Here is a 21494-nt window from a genome sequence, read left to right as displayed (position 1 = left end):
CACCCAGGCTGGAGTGCACTGGCACAAACAGCTCATTCCAGCCAGCTCCTAGGCTCAAGTGACCCGCATGCCCCAGCCTCTTAAGTAGCTGGGACTACAGGGGTGTGCCACTGTGCCCAGCCCTTTTATCTTCTTATTTCACTCATGAGATGGTAAACAACACAATGACCTCTGGGACATTGGGGGCATTTGTGCTGAGGCACCAGCAGCTTTATCCACTGTTGCTCTTGTACTTTCAGTGCAAAAGTCAACATGCTGAAAAAGGCAAATAATGCCACAGTATTATCATGAAAATAGTTGTGGCCTCCTGTACCCCCTGGAAGTGTCTTAGAGACCTCAGGGTCTGCAGATCTCCTTTGGGGAATTACTGCTCAACGCTTCTTAAAGGCAGGGATTTTTGTCTGTTTTGATCACTGCTGTATCCCCTGTGCCTAGAACAATGTTTGGCACATAATAGATGCTCAATAAGTATTTATTATATGAATGCATAAATAAGTGACTGAATAAATGAATGTGGTGACATCTGTAATTACTTTCAGCTGCTTGGAAGTAGAACAATTTAAAAATTCAAAATATTTGTAGTTTTGGTATAATTTAGAATTATAGAATCTTAAATATTTAATCAGGAAATAAATTATTTCTTTGGCAAAAGCATTTAGCTGCAGGGATGGCAAACGCAGTGGGGAACTTTCAAAACCACCCCAATGGTGTCGGCACAGGACAGCAACATTCTTTAGCAAAGGAAGCAATTCCTGAAAACGGGAACACTGCCTGTGACCTAGAAATGGGGACCAAAATCGGGAGAGGAGGACAAGACACTAATAGTTCACATTGCTGTCCCACACTTGCTTTCCCAACACAGTGTCTGGGAACATTTCATAGATTTGGAAGGAATTATGCATAAAATGAACAGGGAATTAGAATATAAGGTGGGACACACAGGAATTCATGAGTAATTAAAACATTTTAAGTTTTTGTTGTTGTTGTTTTGAGATGGAGTCTCATTCTGTCACCCAGGCTGGAGTGCAGTGGCACAATCTCAGCTCACTGCAACCTCTCCCTCCCAGGCTCAAGCAATTCTCCTGCCTCAGCCCCCTGAGTAGCTGGAACTACATGCACGCCTGGCTAATTTTTGTATTTTTAGTAGAGATGGGGTTTCACCATGTTGGCCAGGCTGGTCTCGAACTCCTGACCTTGAGTGATCCACCACCTCAGCCTCCCAAAGTGCTGGGATTACAGGTGTGAGCCACAGTGCCCGGCCCAACATTTTAAGTTTTGAGAACTAAATTATGTATTTGGGACTAACGTCTTTATCCCAGAAAGAGGCCGAGGCACCTCAATATATGATTCACACACTGAGAGTGATATAGAAGTGGATTTTAATGAAGGTGATATAGTACAATAAACTGCAGCATAGTAGGTGAACTAGCTAATAAAATATTCTGGTTAGTAGGGAGTTATCATACAGTTTGCTATTTTTCAATGAATAAGAATTCAGTAAATACACCATCCTTAAGCTGAAGACTCCAGTCATTATTTAGTGACTCCAGAGGCACTGCAGAATCTCACTCTACTCCAGGGAGTCATCAGCAGAAAGGATTAATCAGTTAAGGGAGGTCTGGTGATGGGATTTAATGAGCACACAAATTACCCACTCTTTAGTTTCTGGTCCAAGTTCTGTCGCTTGGTAATTAGCTGGCAACAGGTAAATTCCTGAGCCCTTCTATAATTCAGCTTTTCCCTTCTCTTTTCCTTAAATTCAGGAATACTTAAGAATACAAATGTTTGTGAAATATTTTGGGTCCCTTGAATATACCAAATGTAAGGAGTTATAAGTGGGATTTATATAGAGATAAAATATCCCAGTAAACTTTAAATTGCCAAGTCTGAAATAACAATCTGTAAGTTTCTTCCACCCTATAGAAAACCTCTGAAGTGCAGGCTGGGCGCGGTGGCTCACGCCTGTAATCCCAGCACTTTGGGAGGCTGAGGCAAGCGGATCATGAGGTCATGAGATCGAGACCATCCTGGCTAACACAGTGAAACCCTGTCTCTACTAAAAATACAAAAAAATTAGCCGGGCGTGGTGGCAGGCGCCTGTAGTCCCAACTACAAGGGAGGCTGAGGCAGGAGAATGGCGTGAACCCGGGAGGCGGAGCTTGCAGTGAGCCGAGATCGCGCCACTGCACTCCAGCCTGGGTGACAGAGCGAGACTCTGTCTCAAAAGAAAATAAAAGAAAACCTCCAAAGTGCTTCCCATACCCGTGCATCTACCTGGATCTAGCAATCCTGGGACTAAGACTGAAACCAAAGCTAGCCAGCCTAGTAATTTCTGAGTAGTTTACAATAAACACTTTAGGATCTATATCACTTGATCCTCACAGTATGTGTAGGAAAAACCATTTCTGTTCTTCAGACAAAGATAGGTTTGAAGAAACTGAGTGCCCTAACCAAGAGGCAGAGCTGGGCTCAGAAGGTCCTGTGAGCTCTGTTATCTTTCCACTGTGCACCTTGCTGTGCTGAGAGGAGGAAGACAGAGGTGGTCCCAGTAGTGTTTCTGAAGCCGCAGCAGTGGGCAAATGGTTATCCAGCTTCCCTGGGCCCTGAACAAACAGTCCTGCCCCACTCACCTGCAGCTTCACAGCGATGACCACTGAGTTAAGATCTTTGTCCATTTCTTTTAGCATGACGAGTTTCTTCAGGGTCAAGCTGAATAGCCTAGAAAAACAGAGAAGGAAGATGCTGTCATATGCGAGGAACTTGCGAGAAAAGTGATGAACAATTGGTTAGGCAATCTGCCTTACCTGAAGTAAGAATGTGAGAACGCTGTCCTCAGTCCCAGGGGTCCCCTCTCTCAGTAGAAGAGCATCCCCTCTTACTTAATGTTTATACTTTTAAGAGATGGGTCTCACTATGTTGCCCAGACTGGAGCCCTGGGCCCAAGGATCCTCCCCGTCTTGGCCTCCTGAGTAGCTGGGACCACAGGCACATGCCACCATGCCCAGCTTCTAAAGTTAAGTGTCAAAAGGTACATTATTGCATGAACTTCCATGGATATCATTCATCTCAAGCCAAAGGCAAAATATTCTCCATGCCTAGTATGTTGGAGCCATTTCTGAGGGGGAAGAGGAGACCAAGGGAGGAGAATCACACAGTTCCTCTTCTACTTTCCACCTGATCACACCTGACAGATGTACAGATGTAAATCTTTAGCAAGAGGAGATAATCCACACAAACAAAACATACATCATTTGGCAGGAAATAGTTAAATGGTCACAAATTCTATTTCAGCTGCATTTTGCTCCAAATATGCAGAAAATCTTCAGTGCCACAAATCAAGAAATTCCCCGCAACTCAAAAGTGACAGGATTGTCCCTCACTGTGGAGTCTCAGTAACTCTGCTCTGACTTTACCTTGGCCTTACCACAGCAGGGCCACCCTGGACTTCCAGCAGGAGTGGGAGGGAGACTCTGGAAGCTGCCTTTCTATGGCTGCCTGGGTGGTCAAAGTCTTTACACATTCTTCTCCTGGGAGAGGTTCTGGGGAACGGTACACATGAGGGATGTTGCTTACCAGAGTCATGACAAGTCCAGAGAATCCGGCTGGATTTCATACCTCTTTTTTCCTCCGTGCTGAGGCCCTCTAGGCCCTGCTCAGGCCCCTGTCTTGCATCTCCACAGCCCTCCCTCAGCTCCAGCCACACTAACTTTCCTTTGGCTCCGTGGCAGTGCCACCCTCTCTCGCCTCAGGGCCTTTGGAGGCTGCTGTTCCTTCTGTTGGCACCACCCTGCCACCTAACGCCTCCTCAGCCTTGGGTTATGCATTTTTGCCAGGAGAACTTCCCCCGATGCCTTGCAAAGTCTGTGATGTGTCCCCAGCACAATTCCTATCATGCCACTGGAGTGTAACTTCCGGCGGGCAGGCAGCAGGCTTGCCTCTCCACCGCTCTCTCCCCAACATCTGCCCAAATGCTGGGCACAGTATATAGTTGCTCAGCAAATATTTGTTACATTAAGTTTCCTAAAATGGCTTCTAGCTAAAATCAGATTAACAAGAGTATGTGAAGAAATTAATATAATTCATGTTTTGTTTTTTTTTTAAAGGAGGACAAATCCAGGTCAACAGAACTAAATTCTGGTTTTGAATTAACCTCACTCAAGAACTTTCTTTCTTTTTTTTTTGAGACAGAGTCTCACTCTGTCTCCCAGGCTGGAGTGCAGTGGCATGATTTTGGCTCACTGCAGCCTCCACCTCCCGTGTTCCAGCAATTCTGCTGCCTCAGCCTCCTGGGTAGCTGGGATTACAGGCACCCACTATCATGTCTGGCTAATTTTTGTATTTTTAGTAGAGACCGGTTTCACCATGTTGGCCAGGCTGGTCTCGAACTCCTGACCTCAGGTGATCCGCCTGCCTCGGCCTGGCAAAGTGCTAGGATTACAGGCGTGAGCCACCACGCCCAGTCACCCAAGTACTTTCAAAGATCTGCTGACTAACACAAAGAAAAACAAATAAATCTCTTTCTTTGCTTTAAGCTAGAATCAAAATCAAATAAAATGTATGAAAGCTTATCAGGTCTCTTCATCTATATCATTTTACCTAGACCTCAAAAACAGGACTGTGTGGATGTGTGTTGGGGGGCTCACTGTTCTACGCATGCAACAGAAAAACATTTCAAGTGGAGTAGTGACCTGCCCAAATTCACTTACAGCCAGTAAATGACAGAGCTGGATTCTAACTAATCTCTTTGTGGTGGACCAAATACCCAGCCCCCACCACCCAGATGTCATCTCCTAATCCCCAAAACCTGTGAATATGGTACCTTGGCAAAGTCCCATGGCAAAAGGGACTGTGCAGATGTGATTAAGTTAAGGCTCCTGAGATGGGGAGATTATCCTGGATTATCTGGGTGGACCCAATATGATCACAAGAGCCTTTAAAAGAGGGGGCCAGGGAGGAAAGAGTCAAAGGAGGAAGCAGGGACTGGAGATATGGCTGATGGCCTTGAAGATGGAGGGAGGGGGTCAGGAGCCAAGGAATATGCAGCCTCAAGAAGCAGGAAAAGGCAAGAAAACAGTCCTTCCTTGCAGCCTCCAGAAGGAGCACCACCCTGTCCACACCTTCCGTGCTGCCCAGTGAAACCTATTTTGGACTTCTGACCTGCAGAAATGCAAGATAATAAACGTGTGTTGTGTGAAGTCACGAAGTTTGTGGCCACTCGTCACAGCAGCAGTAGGAAGTGAACCACCCCTCATCCCAGGGCCTGGCCCTTCCCCATCACGTCACCGCCTCCTCAGCCTGTGACCTGGGTGCCCTCAACTCTGATGTCCTAAAACACTCTCCTGACATCTGTTGCTCTGGAGCCATCTGGGTTCATGCTGTTTCCTCCAAAATCCCCCCTTCAATGACTGCCCACAGTACCGCCTGTTTCTCCCTTCCCTTCAGAGCAGAGATGTGCTGTCCCACAGGGAACTCTGGTTCTACTGATATCAAAGGGATTATTACAGTTCACAAATGGCTATTCAGAAATGTAGTTAACTCCTGCAGTCCCAGCTACTCAGGAGGCTGAGGTGGGAGGACTGCTTGAGCCCAGTAGTTCGAGGCCAGCCTGGGCAACATAGAAAGATCCCATTCTCTTAAAAATAAAAAGAAATGTGGGAGGCTGAGGCAGGAGAATCGCTTGAACCCGGGAGGTGGAGGCTGCAGTGAGCCAAGATTGCGCCATTGCACTCCAGCCTGGGTGACAGAGGGAGACTCCATCTCAAAAAACAAACAAACAAACAAACAAAAACAAATGTAGTTAACTACGTACATTGTTTAACTGAATTTTGTGCCTTCATCAAGGCAAAAAATGATGGCTCAAAATGAAATGGGACATGACTGGGATGAGCCAATGGAAAAGACTGAATATGCCCAACGTTCGTCCTCATCTGAGGCTTGCCAAAATCAAATAAAATAGAAACAAATCTCTGAAATTCAAATGTTTTATTTGAGAAGAAAAAAACTGCTGCAATTGGGAGCATACCTGTAGATCAGGTAGTCTTCAGTATGTCCAAAGAACAAAGAGAAGCTTAGATGTTTTATAAAAAAGAGAAATGTTACTATTGCTCTTTGAGAAAGTTCATCGGCACAAGAAAGGTTTTGGGAAACTGGCAATCTCTGATAGGTGAGTGAGAGTGGTGGGCAAAGCTAGTCTTAGAGCTGCAGCACGTCGTCACAGTAGACATCAGATAAAACAGGTTTCAGGTTATAGCAGGCAGTTTCAGCAGCCAGGTTTGCAGAGAATTCCATTTCTGGAGCAATGCCTTGAGTGCCTTTCCCCTAGTTTCTCGGCTCTGTTTTGGTTGGGTATGACGAGGATAACTCAATGTGTATGATCAACTTTTGCAGACTGCTAATCATGAACGCTTCTGATGGGTTAGGTTTTTCCTTGTTTTCAAAGCAAACATTTTCCACCTTCAAATTGATTTGTGGCTGCTGAATAAACTCACTGCAAGATAAACGTCTCACAGGAGTCAGTCAGGGACATGAGTTTCTTCTCTGCTTAAGATTCTTCACTCATCAACACTGCCCACATTTAGAGAACATTCACTCTGCGCCTGGTACTGAACCAGTTGTTGGAGTTGTAGAAGGATGTGGGCTACACAGCGCAGCGGGAAAAGCAAACAATCACGTTACGTTCTGTGCTGCTGCTCTATTATGCCCCAGAAGGCTCTTACATAACATATAAAACATCATAGGATAATATGGCAGAATTATGTTAGGAGGAAAAAACATCACAGACCAATAAATATTTGTTGAATAAATAGACAAGACAGACCTTTATGCCACGGCACCTCATGTTAACAAGATGGCCAAGAAAGATTTAGTACCTTAGGTAAAGCAACAGCAAGACTGGATATGTTCCATGTTTTCACAGAAATGCCACACAACACACTGATTTTGAAACCTGTGGCAATCAGTTCAACAGGATTTTTTTTTGTTTGTTTTCAATGGCATGACTCAAGGGTACTTGGGGACTCAAATGTATTCTAATTCTTCAAAGTACAAGAAAATGTTTATCCCTCATTCAGTATCTATCAGGTACTAGTTGCCTGACATGCATTTCATTATCTCTTTTAAGTTTCACAGTAATGCTAAGAGGTGGGTATTATACCTATTTTACAGATACGGATGCTGGAAGTTAAGAAAATGTCCCCAGGTCACATAGGAAGTAGTCAAGACATGATGCACACTTAGGCCTATCACAGTCCAGAGACCAATTGAAGTTGGTATAAAGCATTTTATTAGCAAATTAGAAGAATTATTTTAATTATAAATGAACTTTTTAACATATACCTTAATATAACAGAGAACACTAAGGAAGTAAGATAAATTTCTCCATAAACCCGCATTTGCACACATTTGATGGAAAGACTCCTAGATATAGTTGTGAGGATGACTCATGCTGACTGTGTCTGGCAAGACATTGTAACGAAGTAGTCTCAGTGATTAGGAAGCTGGGTTAGTTAGCTGCCCACCCCAGGTTTCCTGCTACCCTGTGTTTCACTGGTGGGCGCTTCTCATGCAGTGAAAATGTAGGATACAAGGCCTGAAGAGAAGAGTCTTTCCCTGATGACACTCCTGCTTTAATTGGTTTTTCTACAGCAGAAAATAATTTTACAGCAAAATTATAAAGGCTGATAATTCCAAGTGCTGGTGAAGATGTAGGGTAACCAGAACTTACACTCATGGCTGGGGACAGTGGAAAATGGTACAGTTACTCGAGAAAACCATTTGGTAGTTGATTAGATTTTACATATATGTGTGTGTGTTTGTGTGTGTCTACTCCTATAACCAGCTCCCAAGGGAACCCAAGAGAAAGGAAGGCACACCACAACAAGACAGGTACAAGAACGTTCAAAGCTTCTGCACAGCAAAGGAAACAATCTACAGAGTGAAAAGAATAAGACAAAATATTTGTAAACTACTCATCTGATGGGGGGATTAATACCCAGAATATACAAAGAACTGAAATATCTCAACGGCCAAAAAAAAAAAAAAAAAATCCGATTAAAAAAATCGCCAAACGATCTGAACAGACATTTCTCAAAAGAAAACATACAAATAGCCAACGAACATATAAAAAAAAAATTCAACATCCCTAATCATCAGGGAAACGCAAATCGAAACCACAATGAGGTATCATATTCCCCAGTTGGGCTGGCTACTATCAAAAAGACAAAAAATAACAAATGCTGGAGAGGATGCAGAGAAAAGCGAACTCTTCTACACTGTTGTAACTAGTGAATGTGAACTAGTGCAGCCACTATGGAGAACAGCATGGAGGTTCCTTCAAAAAACTACAAATAAAACTACCACATGATCCAGCAATCCCACTACTGGGAATCGGTTCAAAGGAAAGGAAATTATTGTATCAGGGAGACAATGCAGACCCCCATGTTTACCGAGCACCGTTCACAATAGCCAAGAGAAGGAATCAACCTAGGGGTCCGACAACAGAGGAACAGATAAAGAAAATGTGGTGTGCACATACCATGGAGTACTATTCAGCCATAAAAAAGTGTGAGATCCTGTCATTTGCAGCAACATGGATGGAACTGAGAATATTGTGTTAAGTGAAATAAGCTGGGAATAGAAAGTAAAACACTGCATGATCTCACTCACACATGGAAGCTAAAAAAGTTAATCTCATAGAAGTAAAAAGTAGAACAGATGATACCAGAGGCTGAGAATAGCAGGGGAAAGGGAGGAAAATGGAGAGATTTCTTAAAGGGTACAAAATTACAGCTAGATAGGAGGAATAAGCTCTAGTGTTCAGAAAGATGACTACAGTTAATAATAATATTAATTACAGATAGCTAGGAGGAGGAGAGTCAATGTTCTCAACACAAAGAAATGATCAGCGTTTGAGATGATGGGTATGCTAATCCCCCTGTTCTGTTCATCATACATTGCATGTATCAAAACATCTCTACGTACCCCATGAATATGTAAGATCGGTCAATTTTAAAATTAAATAAAAAATTAAAAAATAAGGTTCAAAGCAGCTCCACTCACAATGGTCCTATACTGGAAACAACACACCCACCAACAGAAGAATGAACAAACAAAATGTAGTACACAAAAAAGACCAAGCTATGATACATGTGTCAACATGGATGATTCAAAACCACTACACTGAGCCGGAAGAGCCAGACCCAAAAGACCACGTACTGTCTTACCATCCACGTGAAGTTCAAGAACAGGTAAGACCAACATGTGGTGATGCCAGTACAGTGACCAAGGCAGGTGGAGGCACTGATTGGAAGGGATATGAGGGAGCCCTCTGGCCAACAACGGCAACGTTACGGGCCTACACACCAGCAGAAACCCACAGGGCTTATATCCAAAACCCATGCACTCCACTGTATGCAATCTGCACATTGATTTAAAACAAAAAAAATGCCTGAATGAAGGCTGTAGAGTCAGATACACTCTGGTTTGAACTGCAGCTCTGTCACGTTACTCTGTCACTCATCTGTCAGCCTTATAATGAGGCACATGCTGTTCTGGTCACTTGTGATACATCAGTAAACAAAGCAGACAAAATGTCTTGTCCTTGAGTTCACACTCTAGTGAAAGGACACAGTCAATAAGCAATAAACATAATAATTAGGTAAATTATGTAGTAGGTCAGATTGTGTGAAAATAGAGCTAGGTATTGCGAGCAAGAGGCAGAGGAGAGCGGGGAGGGCTGAAATTCTGAGTTAGGTGGCCAGGGTGGGCCTCCTTGAGAAGTTCTAGGTTGAGGGGAAGAAGTACATAGGCCTTAAGCTGGCTGCATGCTTGGTCTGCCTGTGAAACAGCAAGGCCAGGGAGCCTATGTGGGGCTGCTTCACATGCAGGCCTCTGTAAACCATACGCAAGATGTGGCTTTTTTTTTTTTTAAGAGACAGGGTCTTGCTCTGTCACCCAGACTGGAATGCAATGGCATGATCAAAGCTCACTGCAATCTTGAACTTCTGGGACTCAAGCAATCTTCCCATCTCAACCTCCTAAGTAGCTGAGACTACAGGTGCATTCTACCGCACCCAGCTAATTAGAAAAAAAAAATTTTTTTTGCAGCGATGGGGTCTCATTACACTGCCCAGGCTGGTCTGTAACTCCTGGGCTCAAGCGATCCTCCTGCCTCGGCCTCCCAAAGTGCTGAAATCACAGGTGTGAGCCACTGCTGCCAGCTGATTTTTTCATTTTTACGTGAGAAAGAAAGAAACCTCTTCTTTGTGGTTTTTCTGTTGTGTATGCAGGTGAACCTATCTTTAAGTAATGTTCACCAGGAACAGATTCCCAAGGTGTTAGGACTTTAGTTACAACCCCCAAACATTAATACTTTCAAAAAGAACCAGTTGGCCAAATTATTCCCAAAGTCCATTTTAAAGGGCAGTGCCCTATCAGGAAACCCTGGGTCTCATCCTTATGAAGGAAGAGAAGATATCTCAAAAGCTGAAATAACAAAGTTCTCTCCAAGATCCCTAGGAGAGCCAAATCTCTACTTTCTGCTCTCTAGCTACCTCTCTGCTACAGTGCGCTGGAAGTCAGGTTCCATGGTCCGGCATGGGGATATGGCAGCTGGCTGAAGACTCCTCTGTCACTCCCCTCCCGTCCTTTTCATCTGGGGATCAGGCAGAAGAACACCTCTAGCCGAGTCCCTACTTAAAGGGATTTCAAACACAATGGACAGCTGGGGTTCTCCAGCCAGTCCACCTTTGGAAGGTCAGTGAAAAGATGGATGAGACAAACAGGGCTCAATGTGCTGGAACTCTAAGAAGTTGAGTCTGCCTTCAAAGTAAAACAGAGTATTACAAAGATGATTAGAGTCCAAAGGACTTTTAAAGGAGGATCCCACGTTACTCAGCTGAGAAATAATCTTCCTCTCTACATAGGCATTCTGAAAATATATTAGTAACAGGTCATTTATTTTCAACTTTTAAAACTCCATTTGGAAGTCCTAGACCATCATTAATAAAACAATAACAAAACAACGAATCTTGGTCCCTTGATCTGCTCTCACCGCTTACTTTTCATATTTTTATGAGTTCAGTGTTTTAGCCTGTCTTTGACTCTCTTTGGGATCAATTTCCTTCCAATAAGAGCAGTCCAATAAAAGCAGCGAGGCAATAGCTATTATAATTAGGCCGAGAGTTCCTGGCCTGTCCCCTCATTCCCTGCACCTCAAGCCATTTCTCTTCCACTTCATAGGCATGCAAGCCCTCGTGAGCCCTTGCAGAGAACATTCCCATTGCCACCAGCAGGAAGGACAGAGTACCGCTGATAGAGTGTTCCCAGAAAGACCTCCATCAGCCTTTTACTGTACATATTCTCTGTACTTAGCTCTGTGCTAGGAGCTGAAAAAGAAAAAAATGGGCATAATCTCTGCTTTTGAGCAATTCATAACCTAGTTGAAAGGACAGGATTTAAGTATATCAAACAATTAACCAACAAACGTGACAGTGCATAATTAAGTTCTGAATTACACAAAAGGAGATCACTGAGTAACTGGGCTAAGGCTTCAGTGAGGACATATTTGAGCACAAGCAAATTCTCTCAAGAAATTATTTAGCTCTCATTAGACTAAGTCTGAAAGAATAAGGCTGTCTACTTGATAACTGGGTACAGAAAAGAACAAAATATAGTGACAAGAATCTTTTGAAACCTTCTAAATAATTCTAGTTTATACGTGACTGTAGGATAAAGGAGAAACAGCCTTGAATAATTTCTACAAATGATCCTCAACTTGCATTTAACAGCTGTTTCTAACCTACTCTCATGCAAACTTGAGAGGCTCACTAAGAGAGAAATGGTCATATTCCATTCCCCTCTCATCTCTTTTTTTTTTTTTTTTTTTTTTTTTTGAGACAGGGTCTCACTCTGTCACCCAGACTGGAGTGCAGTGGTGCGATCTCGGCTCACCGCAGCCTCCGCCTCTCAGGCTCAAGCGATTCTCCTGCCTCAGCCTCCCAAGTAGCTGGGATTACAGGTGCATGCCACTACCACCCGGCTAATACCCTTCTAATAAGATATCAATAAACAGCAAAGTGGTCAAATTTTGCACAGAAAAAGGGGAAGAAAGGAGAAACAAAGATCTGGATGAAATAAAAACCTGACTAGTTAGACCCCAAATCAAAATGATGGTCGTGAGGTAGGAGGCAGAACTCTGGACCAGATTGAAGACTGGCTGTAACAGAAGAGGCAACACCACCACTCCCTAAGACACACCCACTGGTGTATGTTAGTTTACCATTGCCATGGCAACACCCAGATGTCACTACTCCTTTCCATGGCAACAACCTGCAGGTTACCACCCCTTTTCTAGAAAATTCTGAATAATCTGCCTCTTAATTTGCATGTAATTAAGAGTGGGTATAAATACGACTGCAGAACTGCCACTGAGTGCTGCTCTTGAGGCTGCCTACCAGGTCTATCCCTGCTCTGCAGAGCAGTCACGGTGCTGTAACACTGCCACCTCAATAAAGCTGGTTTCTTCTACCACTGGCTCACTCTTGAATTCTTTCCTGAGCAAAGCAAAGAACCTTCCTGGGCTAAGCCCCAATTCTGGGGCTTGCCTGTCCTACACTGGTCCCTTTGTGACCAGAGCAGATAAATGCAAGGAACAGAAGACAAGTGACCTGGATTACTCCTTTGTCCTACCAAGAAATGGCTGTGTCATATGAGCAAGGCATTTTCCTCTCTGTGTGAGTTCTTTAATCAGAAGATGGGAAGAATAAGCCCTGCCTCTTCCCTTAACAGCATTTATTCACATAAAGAGTAAACCAAGAGAAAAAAATTGTGAAAAAGGTTTTCCTTTGTGAGAGTAAAAACATTTCTAAAATTGTTTCTATTTTACAGGCACCTGTGGAAGTCTCAACAAGCTTCAATAACACCAACAAGTAAATTTCTGAGCACTATATTCTTACTGCTGAAGAAGTTACCCAAATATATGTAGATACTGAACCTATTATTTCATATGAAATAGCATAATTTTGATTGTGAAACAATGAACTAAGGCATTATTTATTTATTTATCTATTTATTTTTGAGACAGGGTCTCACTCTGTCACCCAGGCTGGAGTGCAGTGGGATGATCTCAGCTCACTGCGGCCTCCATCTCCTGGGCTCATGTGATTCTCCCACCTCAGCCTCCCAAGTAGCTGGGACCACAGGTGCACACCACCACACCCAGATAATTTTTGTATTTTTAGTAGAGACGAGGTTTCACCATGTTGCCCAGGCTGGTCTCAAACTCCAGTTCAAGCGATCTGCCCGCCTCAACCTCCTGAAGTGTTGGGATCACAGGTGTGAGCAACCACACCCAGCTTAAGGCATTATTTTTAAACCAGTAACCTTAAAGCAGATTTTTCAAAAGCAAAGCAACTAGACCAGGTATGGTGCCCCATGCCTATAATCCCAGAACTTTGGAGGGCTGAGGCAGGAGCATTGCTTGAGCTCAGGAGTTCAAGACCAGCCTGAGCACATAAGTGAGGCCTTGTTTCTACAAAAAATAAAAACATTAAAAAATACTAGCCCAGGGTGGTGGCACACGCGCCCATGTGCCTACATGCCTATAGTTCCAGCTACTCAGGAGGCTAAGGTGAGAGGCTCACATGAACCTGGGAGATGAGACTGCAGTGAGCTATGATCACGCAACTGTACTCCAGCCTGGGTGACAGCAAGACCATGTCTCAAGAAAAAAAAAAAGCAAAGCAACTAAATTTTCTTCCCGAAAATGTTTGAATGGGGCAATTTCATCCTGAAATCACTCAGATGGGAGAATATCAGCGAATGAGAAAAAACTTAAGCCTAAACAATAAACAGAACTAAGGAACATCCTTAGGGATATTTTACTCCATAGCCATAAGATGTGGCTTTCTATGAAGTAGAGGGACATAAGATTCTAAGAAAATTTTCAGTTACTCAGGGTATGTTTATCTTTGGGTTATGAATGCCAATTACTTGCACAGACCAACACAATGTATGACATTTTCTATCTCTCTCTGCAATCTCCTTGATGATAATTTTCTGGATTGGGAAACAGGCCTCAGAGGTAGGGTGTGGACTTTTGCTTATTAAAACCAGATACAAAAAGTCTCAGGTCCAAAGTAGCTCCTCTAGTATTGCAGAAGAGACTTAAATGTAAGCTTTCTCATCTATAAAATAGAATTGCTGTGTGAACTAGCAAATGTGAAAAGTTCCTAGCATAGACTCTGGCATACAGAAGTGCTCAAAAAGGTGAACTGCCTTCCTTAAACTTTGCTAAAGAGAACCTTACACGTCATCAGCATTTGACGAATCCTAGTCACTTAAATTCCAGTTCTTCATTCATGACAACCCATTAGTACATGTGTCTCAGTGACTGAGGTAAAGCAGGTATGTGGGAGGAACAAAAACAAACAGAAACTGTCCAGGGTGTGTGGGGAAAAAAAGAACAAACAAAAAACCATCCAGGTTCCAGCCAAAACTAATTTGGGCAAGAACTAATCAAACAAAAATATATTATATCTAAGGGAGACTCCTAAGACAAGAAATATTAGAAACTTAATACATTATCACATTAATAAGCTCAAAAGAACAAATAAGCATAATTATTTTATTAGATGCTAAAAAAGGCACTTAATAAAATTCAACATACACTACTAATTTTAAAAGAGCAATAGGGCCGGGTGGGGTGGCTTACGTCTATAACCCCAGCACTTTGGGAAGCTGAGGTGGGTGGATCACCTGAGGTCAGGAGTTCAAGACCAGCCTGGCCAACATGGTGAAATCCCGTCTCTACTGAAAATAAAAAAAATTAGCTGGGTGTGGTGGTGGACACCTGTAATCCCAGCTACTCAGGAGACTGAGGCAGAAGAATCGTTTGAACCCTGGGAGGTGGAGGTTGCAGTGAGCTGAGATCCCGACACTGCACTCCAGCCTGGGAGACAGAGTGAGACTCTATCTCAAAAAAAATAAAAAATAAAAAATTAAAATTAAAATAAAAAAAAAAGCAACAGAAAAAATACTTCCTTAACATAATTTAAAAAATATATACCTTCCATAAATATATACAGCTACATATTTGTGTATAATTAGCATCAGGATTAACAATGAGAGACCAGAACATTCCTTCTGCAGACAAGAACAATATAAGGAAGGGCTTATCTGTGTTACTTACATAAAACTCTGGAAAGCTGGCTGAAGTAATTAGAAATAAAAGGGATAATGGTTGAAAGGGCTGAGCATGGTGGCTCACACCTGCAATCCCAGCACTTTGGGAGGCCAAGGAGGGTGGATCACTTGAGCCCAGGGGTTTGAGACCAGCCTGGGCAACATGGTGAAACCACATTTCTACAAAAAATTAAAAAATCTGTTAAGTATGGTGGCTCATGCCTGTAGTCCCAGCTACTAGGGAGGCTGAGGTAGGAGGATCACTTGAGCCCAGGAGGTCAAGGCTGCAGTGGGCTATGATCATACCACTGCAATCCAGCCTGGTTGAGAGAGCAACATCCTATCTCAAAATTAAGTAAGTAAAAAAATAAGGCTGGGTGCGGTGGCGCACGCCTGTAATTCCAGCACTTTGGGAGGCTGAGGTAGGCGGATCATGAGGTCAGGAGATCGAGACCATTTTGGCCAACATGGTGAAACCCTGTCTCTACTAAAAATACAAAAATTAGCTAGGCGTGGTGGTGCGTGCCTGTAATCCCAGCTACTCAGGAAGCTGAGGCAGGAGAATTGCTTGAATCAGGGAGTGGGAGGTTGCAGTGAGCTGAGATCACGCCACTGCACTCCAGCCTGGCAACAGAGTGAGACTCCGTTTCACACACACACACAAAAAAAAAAGCTGAAAGAAAGAGACAATACAATCCTTATTTGTAAATGTATGACTGTGTATTATTGGATCTCAAGAGAATCAACCAAAAAAGCTGGTGGCAGCATTAATATCTTGTTTTTTGTTTTTTTGAGACAAAGTTTCTCACTGTTGCCCAGGCTGGAGTGCAGTGGAGCATTTGTGCTCAGCCAAGATAATATCAAATTAAAATATAAAAAATCTGCTGGGCACAGTGGCTCATGCCTGTAATCCCAGCACTTTGGGAGGCTGAGGCAGGCGGATCACCTGAGATCAGGAGTTTGAGACCAGCTTGGCCAACATGGTGAAACCCCATCTCTACTAAAATACAAAAATTAGCCAGATGTGGTGGTGAATCCTAGCTGTTCAGGAGGCTAAGGCATGAGAATCACTTGAACCTGGCAGGCGGAGGTTGCAGTGAGCTGAGATCATGCCACTGCACTCCAGCCTGGGCAAAAGAGGGAGACTCTGTCTCAAAATAAATACATAAAAATAAACAAACAAACAATGAGAGCAAAAGGAACAGGCTGAACAGAATTCAGAGGGCCACAATTAACTGTTAAAGGGCACTTAAAGAAAAAGTACCTATGGTTCAAGTTAATTTCAAGCCCCTTTATACAACTGAAGTAAAGATTAAACAAAGTCAATTAGAACCCAGAGTACTGGAGCTGAAAGTACTATTTCCAGTTTACTGATGGAAACTGAGGTCCAAAGAGATAACAGAAACCTTTTAAGTCAAGATACATTTCCTCTGATTAGAATGGGTATATATGTTAATACTGAATGTTATACTGACCCAAACATTACACAAGTTTCCCCCTGCAAAAGTGCCAGTTAATAGCTCCCAAAGAAATCTAGGAAACCTCTAGGCCTGGCACAGTGGCTCACGTCTGTAATCCCAGCTTTGGAAGCCTGGGGCGGGCCGATCACCCGAGGTCTAAACAATATTCTTAATCTTAAACATTTTCCTTAATGTTTAAATTACTGCTTAAATAAAACTGGGAACAGTCCATTTGACCCTCGAATGTGTACTTTAAAAAGAAACATTTTAAATTACTTTACAAGGTAGAATGAAACTTGAGTTATGGCTGAAAAATACTGGATAGGTACTTAACAGAAAAGGAGAGCAAGTGGTCAATAAAATATAAAAAGATGGTTAAGTTCATTAGTAACAAAGAAAATGCAAATCAAACCACAGGGAGACAGTATTTCATTTTTACCAGACTGGCAAAAATTATAAATCTGACAACATCAAGTGCTGTGATAAGAGTGACTAAAACAATTAAACACTGCTGGTGGGTGGCAGGGGACAACTTAATACATTCATTCACTTTGGAGGGGTCTGGCCTTACCAGCAAAGGGGGAGAATGGACACACCCTGGGGCAGTGGTTCTTTAAGTGTGATAGTGTGATCTGGGACCTGTGGGAGTTCCTGAAACCCTTTCAGAAGATGTGCAAGGTCAAAGCTATTTTCAAAATAATTATATATTTTATTTCCTATTTCAACCTCATTCTCTCTCAAGTATAGTGAGGTTTCTGACTATTGTTGATACTGTAACAGATTGAATGCAGAAAGAGATGTGAGAACTTAGCTATTTTCTATTAAGCCACACAGTAAAGAGATCTGAAAAAAATATAAAATAATGCCACACTTCTGTTTTTTTGTTTTAAAACAGTTTTTTCATAAAAACATCCATTTTTATTTTAATTTTATTATTTTAAATTGTTATTCTAAATGAGTTACTAAGTAAACATTTAAAACATTTCTATTTCAATTTTAATACAGTAAATACTGATAGATATAATCCACCATAAAACAGGAACAAGAATTTTTTAGCACTGCTCTTTGGAAAAAGCAAAAAATCAAAAAACTGCTTAATACTGTGAATGTCTATCACACACGCATGCACATGTAGTAATACAATGGAATACTACATAGCAGTGAAAAGGAAAGAATTACTGCTATACACAGAAATAAGAAAATAGAACACATCCAGTACGGTTCCATGTACATGAAGCTCAAAACATGCAACACTAACAATATACTGTTCAAGAAGGCAACACTCAAGGGAATGATAACAACAGAATTTAGGATAGCAGTTACTTCTGAGAAGAAGGGAAAGGAATGAGAAAAAAGGTCATACAAGGAACTCCTGATAATTAAATTAATTTTCTTAAATTGGGTGGTAGGTTATTGGGTGTTTGTTGTAATGTGATTCTTTACATGATATATATACTAAATATTCCTATATATCTACTCAATACTTAGTAAAACACTTGATATTTAATATAACTAGATATCATATTGGTTCAACTCTCTGGAAAAGATGAAGCAGATCTAAATATTAAAAATGGAACCTAGACACCTGGATGCATTAATTCACTACATTTTTCTTAAGCATCCATTATGGACTATTGTGCTAATTGTTGAATACAAATACTATTATGCTACAAATACAAATGTGCTAAATGTTGATACAAAATACGCAAAGTTCCCACTCTTAAAATGCTTACTGCAGCCTGGACAGCAATGTGAGACCCCGTGTCTACAAAAAAAAATTAAAAATTAGCTGGGCATGGTGGTGTGAGAGCTGTGGGCCCAGCTACTTGCAGGGCTGAGATGGGAGGATTGCTTGAACCCAGGAGGTCAAGGCTACAGTGAGCTATGATCGCACCATTACAGTTGGGCCTGGATGACAGAGCAAGACCAGTCTCAAAAACAAAACAAAACAAAAAAAACCTTACAGGAAGAGAAGGTGGACTTTTAATAGAAGGATAGAGTAGGTGCAGCAAATCAGCACACCTGCCAAGAACAACTGAAAAGTCTAGCTGAAATACAGAAATTATCTATTTTGGCCGGGTGCAGTGGCTCACACCTGTAATCCCAGCACTATGGGAGGCCAAGACGGGTAGATCACCTGAGGTCAGGAGTTCGAGACCAGCTTGACCGACATGGAGAAACCCCGTCTCTACTAAAAATACAAAATTAGCCAGGCATGGTGGCGCATGGTGTAATCCCAGCTGCTTGGGAGGCTGAGGCAGGAGAATCGCTTGAACCCGGGAGGTGGTGGATGCACCACTTTCAATTTGGGGAGAGGAGGCTGCTGTTTAGTAATATGCTCTCACAAAAATTAACACAAATTTCTCCTCTCAGAACATTTCTGAAAGTATTTTTAAACCTGGAGATCCTTTCCCCTTTCTAAGAAATCTTCCTTTTCCTTTTTGCTATCCTTGCATTGCCCAAAACAGACTTGAAAAAGAACTACCAGTAGCCCTGGGATAGACAGCCACTGTTGAAAAAGACAAATGAAGGAACAGGGATGGAGCTAAGTAAATCAAGAACGATCCCTGACCTCAGAGCATCCTCAGTCTAGTGAGAATGGCATGCAAACAACAGCCTAACTTATAAGTGCTTTACCTGAGACATATGCAAGTTACTATGGAATGCAAAGGAGTGTCTGACGTCTTTCCTGGGGAGTAAGAGGAGGCTTCACAGAAAATAAGGATGAGTCGGAGCTCACCTGGCAGGGAGGGGGAAGATCATTCCAGTCAGAGAGAACATCATGTTCAAAGCCACAGAACTGGTTCTTTAAGAAAGCAGGTAAGTAGGTGGAAATTAAGAGTGTATATGGACCGGGCATGATGGTTCACGCATGTAATCCCAGCATTTTGGGAGGCGGAGGCAGGCGGATCACTTGCTATCAGGAGTCTGAGACCAGCCTGACCAACGTGATGAAACCCCATCTTTATAAAAAATACAAAAATTAGCCAGGCGTGGTAGCACATGCCTGTAAACCCAGCTATTCGGGAGGCTGAGGCAGGAGAATCCTTTGAACTCAGGAGGCAGACGTTGCAGTGAGCCGAGATCACGCCACTGCACTCCAGCTTGGGCAACAAGAGTGAAACTCCATCTCAAAAAAAAAAAAAAATCTGGATCTTATGCTGGGACATAGAAATTAAAGGATTTTAGACAGGGGAGTAACATTAAAATGCAGATATACTCTCTTTAACTAAAATGCATGTTCTCACATAAGTGAGCGCTAAATACTGAGCACAAATGTACATAAATATGGGAACAACAGACATTGCAGACTACCAGAGATGGAGCTAGGTGGGGTGGTTTGTTTAAAACACTACCTATTGGGTACTATGATAACTACCTGGGTGACGGGATTTGTACTACAAAACTCTGCATCACACAATGTTCCCATGCAACAAATCTGCACATGTATCCACTATATCTAAAAGAAAAGTTGAAATTTTTAAAAATGAAGGAAATAATGTCTATATTTTTGGAAAGTCCACTTTGGTCAAAGTGTGTGGAGTAGATTGGAACTGGTGAGTATAAAGACAAGAAGAGTTAGGAAGTTACTGTAACTGTCCAGGTGAGAAATGATGAATTCCTGAACCTGGAATGTGGTCACTGAGATCAAAAGGAAAAAAATTCAATCTGAGAAACATTTAGAAAGCGGAATCAACCCTGTGATATTTCAACCTACAGGATGCCAAGAGTAGAGAAGGAAAAATCAGAGACGACGCTCAGGTTTCTGGGTTGAATGATCAGTATATGTGATTGCCATTCACACCCCTCCCCAACATGGTTTGTGGAAATCCACTTGGTCCTGGAGAAGGTGACACCACCCTGGCTCCAGAAGTAAAGCCCGTGACCTATGTATGGGAAGCGATAAGCACACTCCATGTCCCCTAAAGGCCACTGGGACTGATGGAGTTTGTACAGTGGAAGACAGATCACAACTTACACAAAACGTAGCAAAGTGACAGTGAAAGTGTAAAAGAAAAGTTAGACCTAGAAAACAGAGAAGTTAGAGCTGAAATCTAATCTAGATGCAATGAGTCTCCAAGGAAATAGACAGAACAGGTGAGGGGCATTATTCAAAGGGCCAATGGCAAAAAAATTTCCAGAATTTACCAAAGCCACCCACTGTCACATTTTAGAAAGCCCAACAAATTCAAAGGGAGGGTAAAGAAAAATGAATCCACAATCAAACATATTACTGTGAATCTGTAGAATACCAAAGACAAAGAAGACTTAAAAGCTGCCTGAGAAAAAGACAGAAGCACCCAGACTGACGACTTAAAACAAAACAAAACAAAACAAAAACAAAACCGTATTGGTTTAATTTACATATTATAAAATTCACCATTTTTTTTTCTTTTTTTTTCAGACAGAGTTTTGCTCTGTCGCCCAGGCAGACCAGTTGCACCAATACAATGGTGCAATCTTGGCTCACTGCAACCTCTGCCTCCTGGGTTCAAGCGATTACCCTGCCTCAGCCTCCCGAGTAGCTGGAATTACAGGCGTCTGCGACCACGCCCAGCTCATTTTTGTAGTTTTAGTAGAGACAGGATTTCACCATGTTGGTGAGGCTGGTCTTGAACTCCTGACCTCAGGTGATCCACCCGCCTAGGCCTCCCAAAGTGATGGGATTACAGGTGTGAGCCACTGCCCCTGGCCAAAATTCACCTATTTTAAACGTACAATTCAATGCTCTTCAATAAATTTGTTAGATAGTGCAACCATCACCCCAATACAGTACTAGGATATTTTCATCATCAAAATACGACCCCTTGTGCCCATTTATAGTTAATCCCTATTTCCATTCCCTCCCAGGAA

General features: G+C 42.4%; 1 protein-coding gene and 1 long non-coding RNA gene across 4 annotated transcripts in view; both read right to left on the bottom strand.

The window, feature by feature from the left end:
• PACS1 (phosphofurin acidic cluster sorting protein 1) overlaps positions 1 to 21494 on the bottom strand; it is a 174473-nt gene that overhangs the window by 48541 nt on the left and 104438 nt on the right. For all 3 annotated transcript variants that reach the window (NM_018026.4, XM_011545164.3, XM_011545162.2), the window contains exon 2: positions 2631 to 2718. In NM_018026.4, coding sequence (NP_060496.2) covers positions 2631 to 2718 — 88 coding nt within the window. The remainder of the gene's footprint in view (positions 1 to 2630; positions 2719 to 21494) is intronic.
• Positions 5968 to 11879, bottom strand: LOC105369354 (uncharacterized). Its single transcript, XR_950219.2, has 2 exons — positions 10551 to 11879; positions 5968 to 6637 (listed from the first exon to the last, which is right to left on the bottom strand). It is a non-coding gene; the product is annotated as an uncharacterized LOC105369354 (long non-coding RNA).

Source organism: Homo sapiens, chromosome 11 (assembly GCF_000001405.40).
Source record: "Homo sapiens chromosome 11, GRCh38.p14 Primary Assembly".
Taxonomy (NCBI): Eukaryota; Metazoa; Chordata; class Mammalia; order Primates; family Hominidae; genus Homo; species Homo sapiens.
Note: the sequence above shows the minus strand (reverse complement) of the source record. Positions and strands in the feature narration are given on the sequence as shown.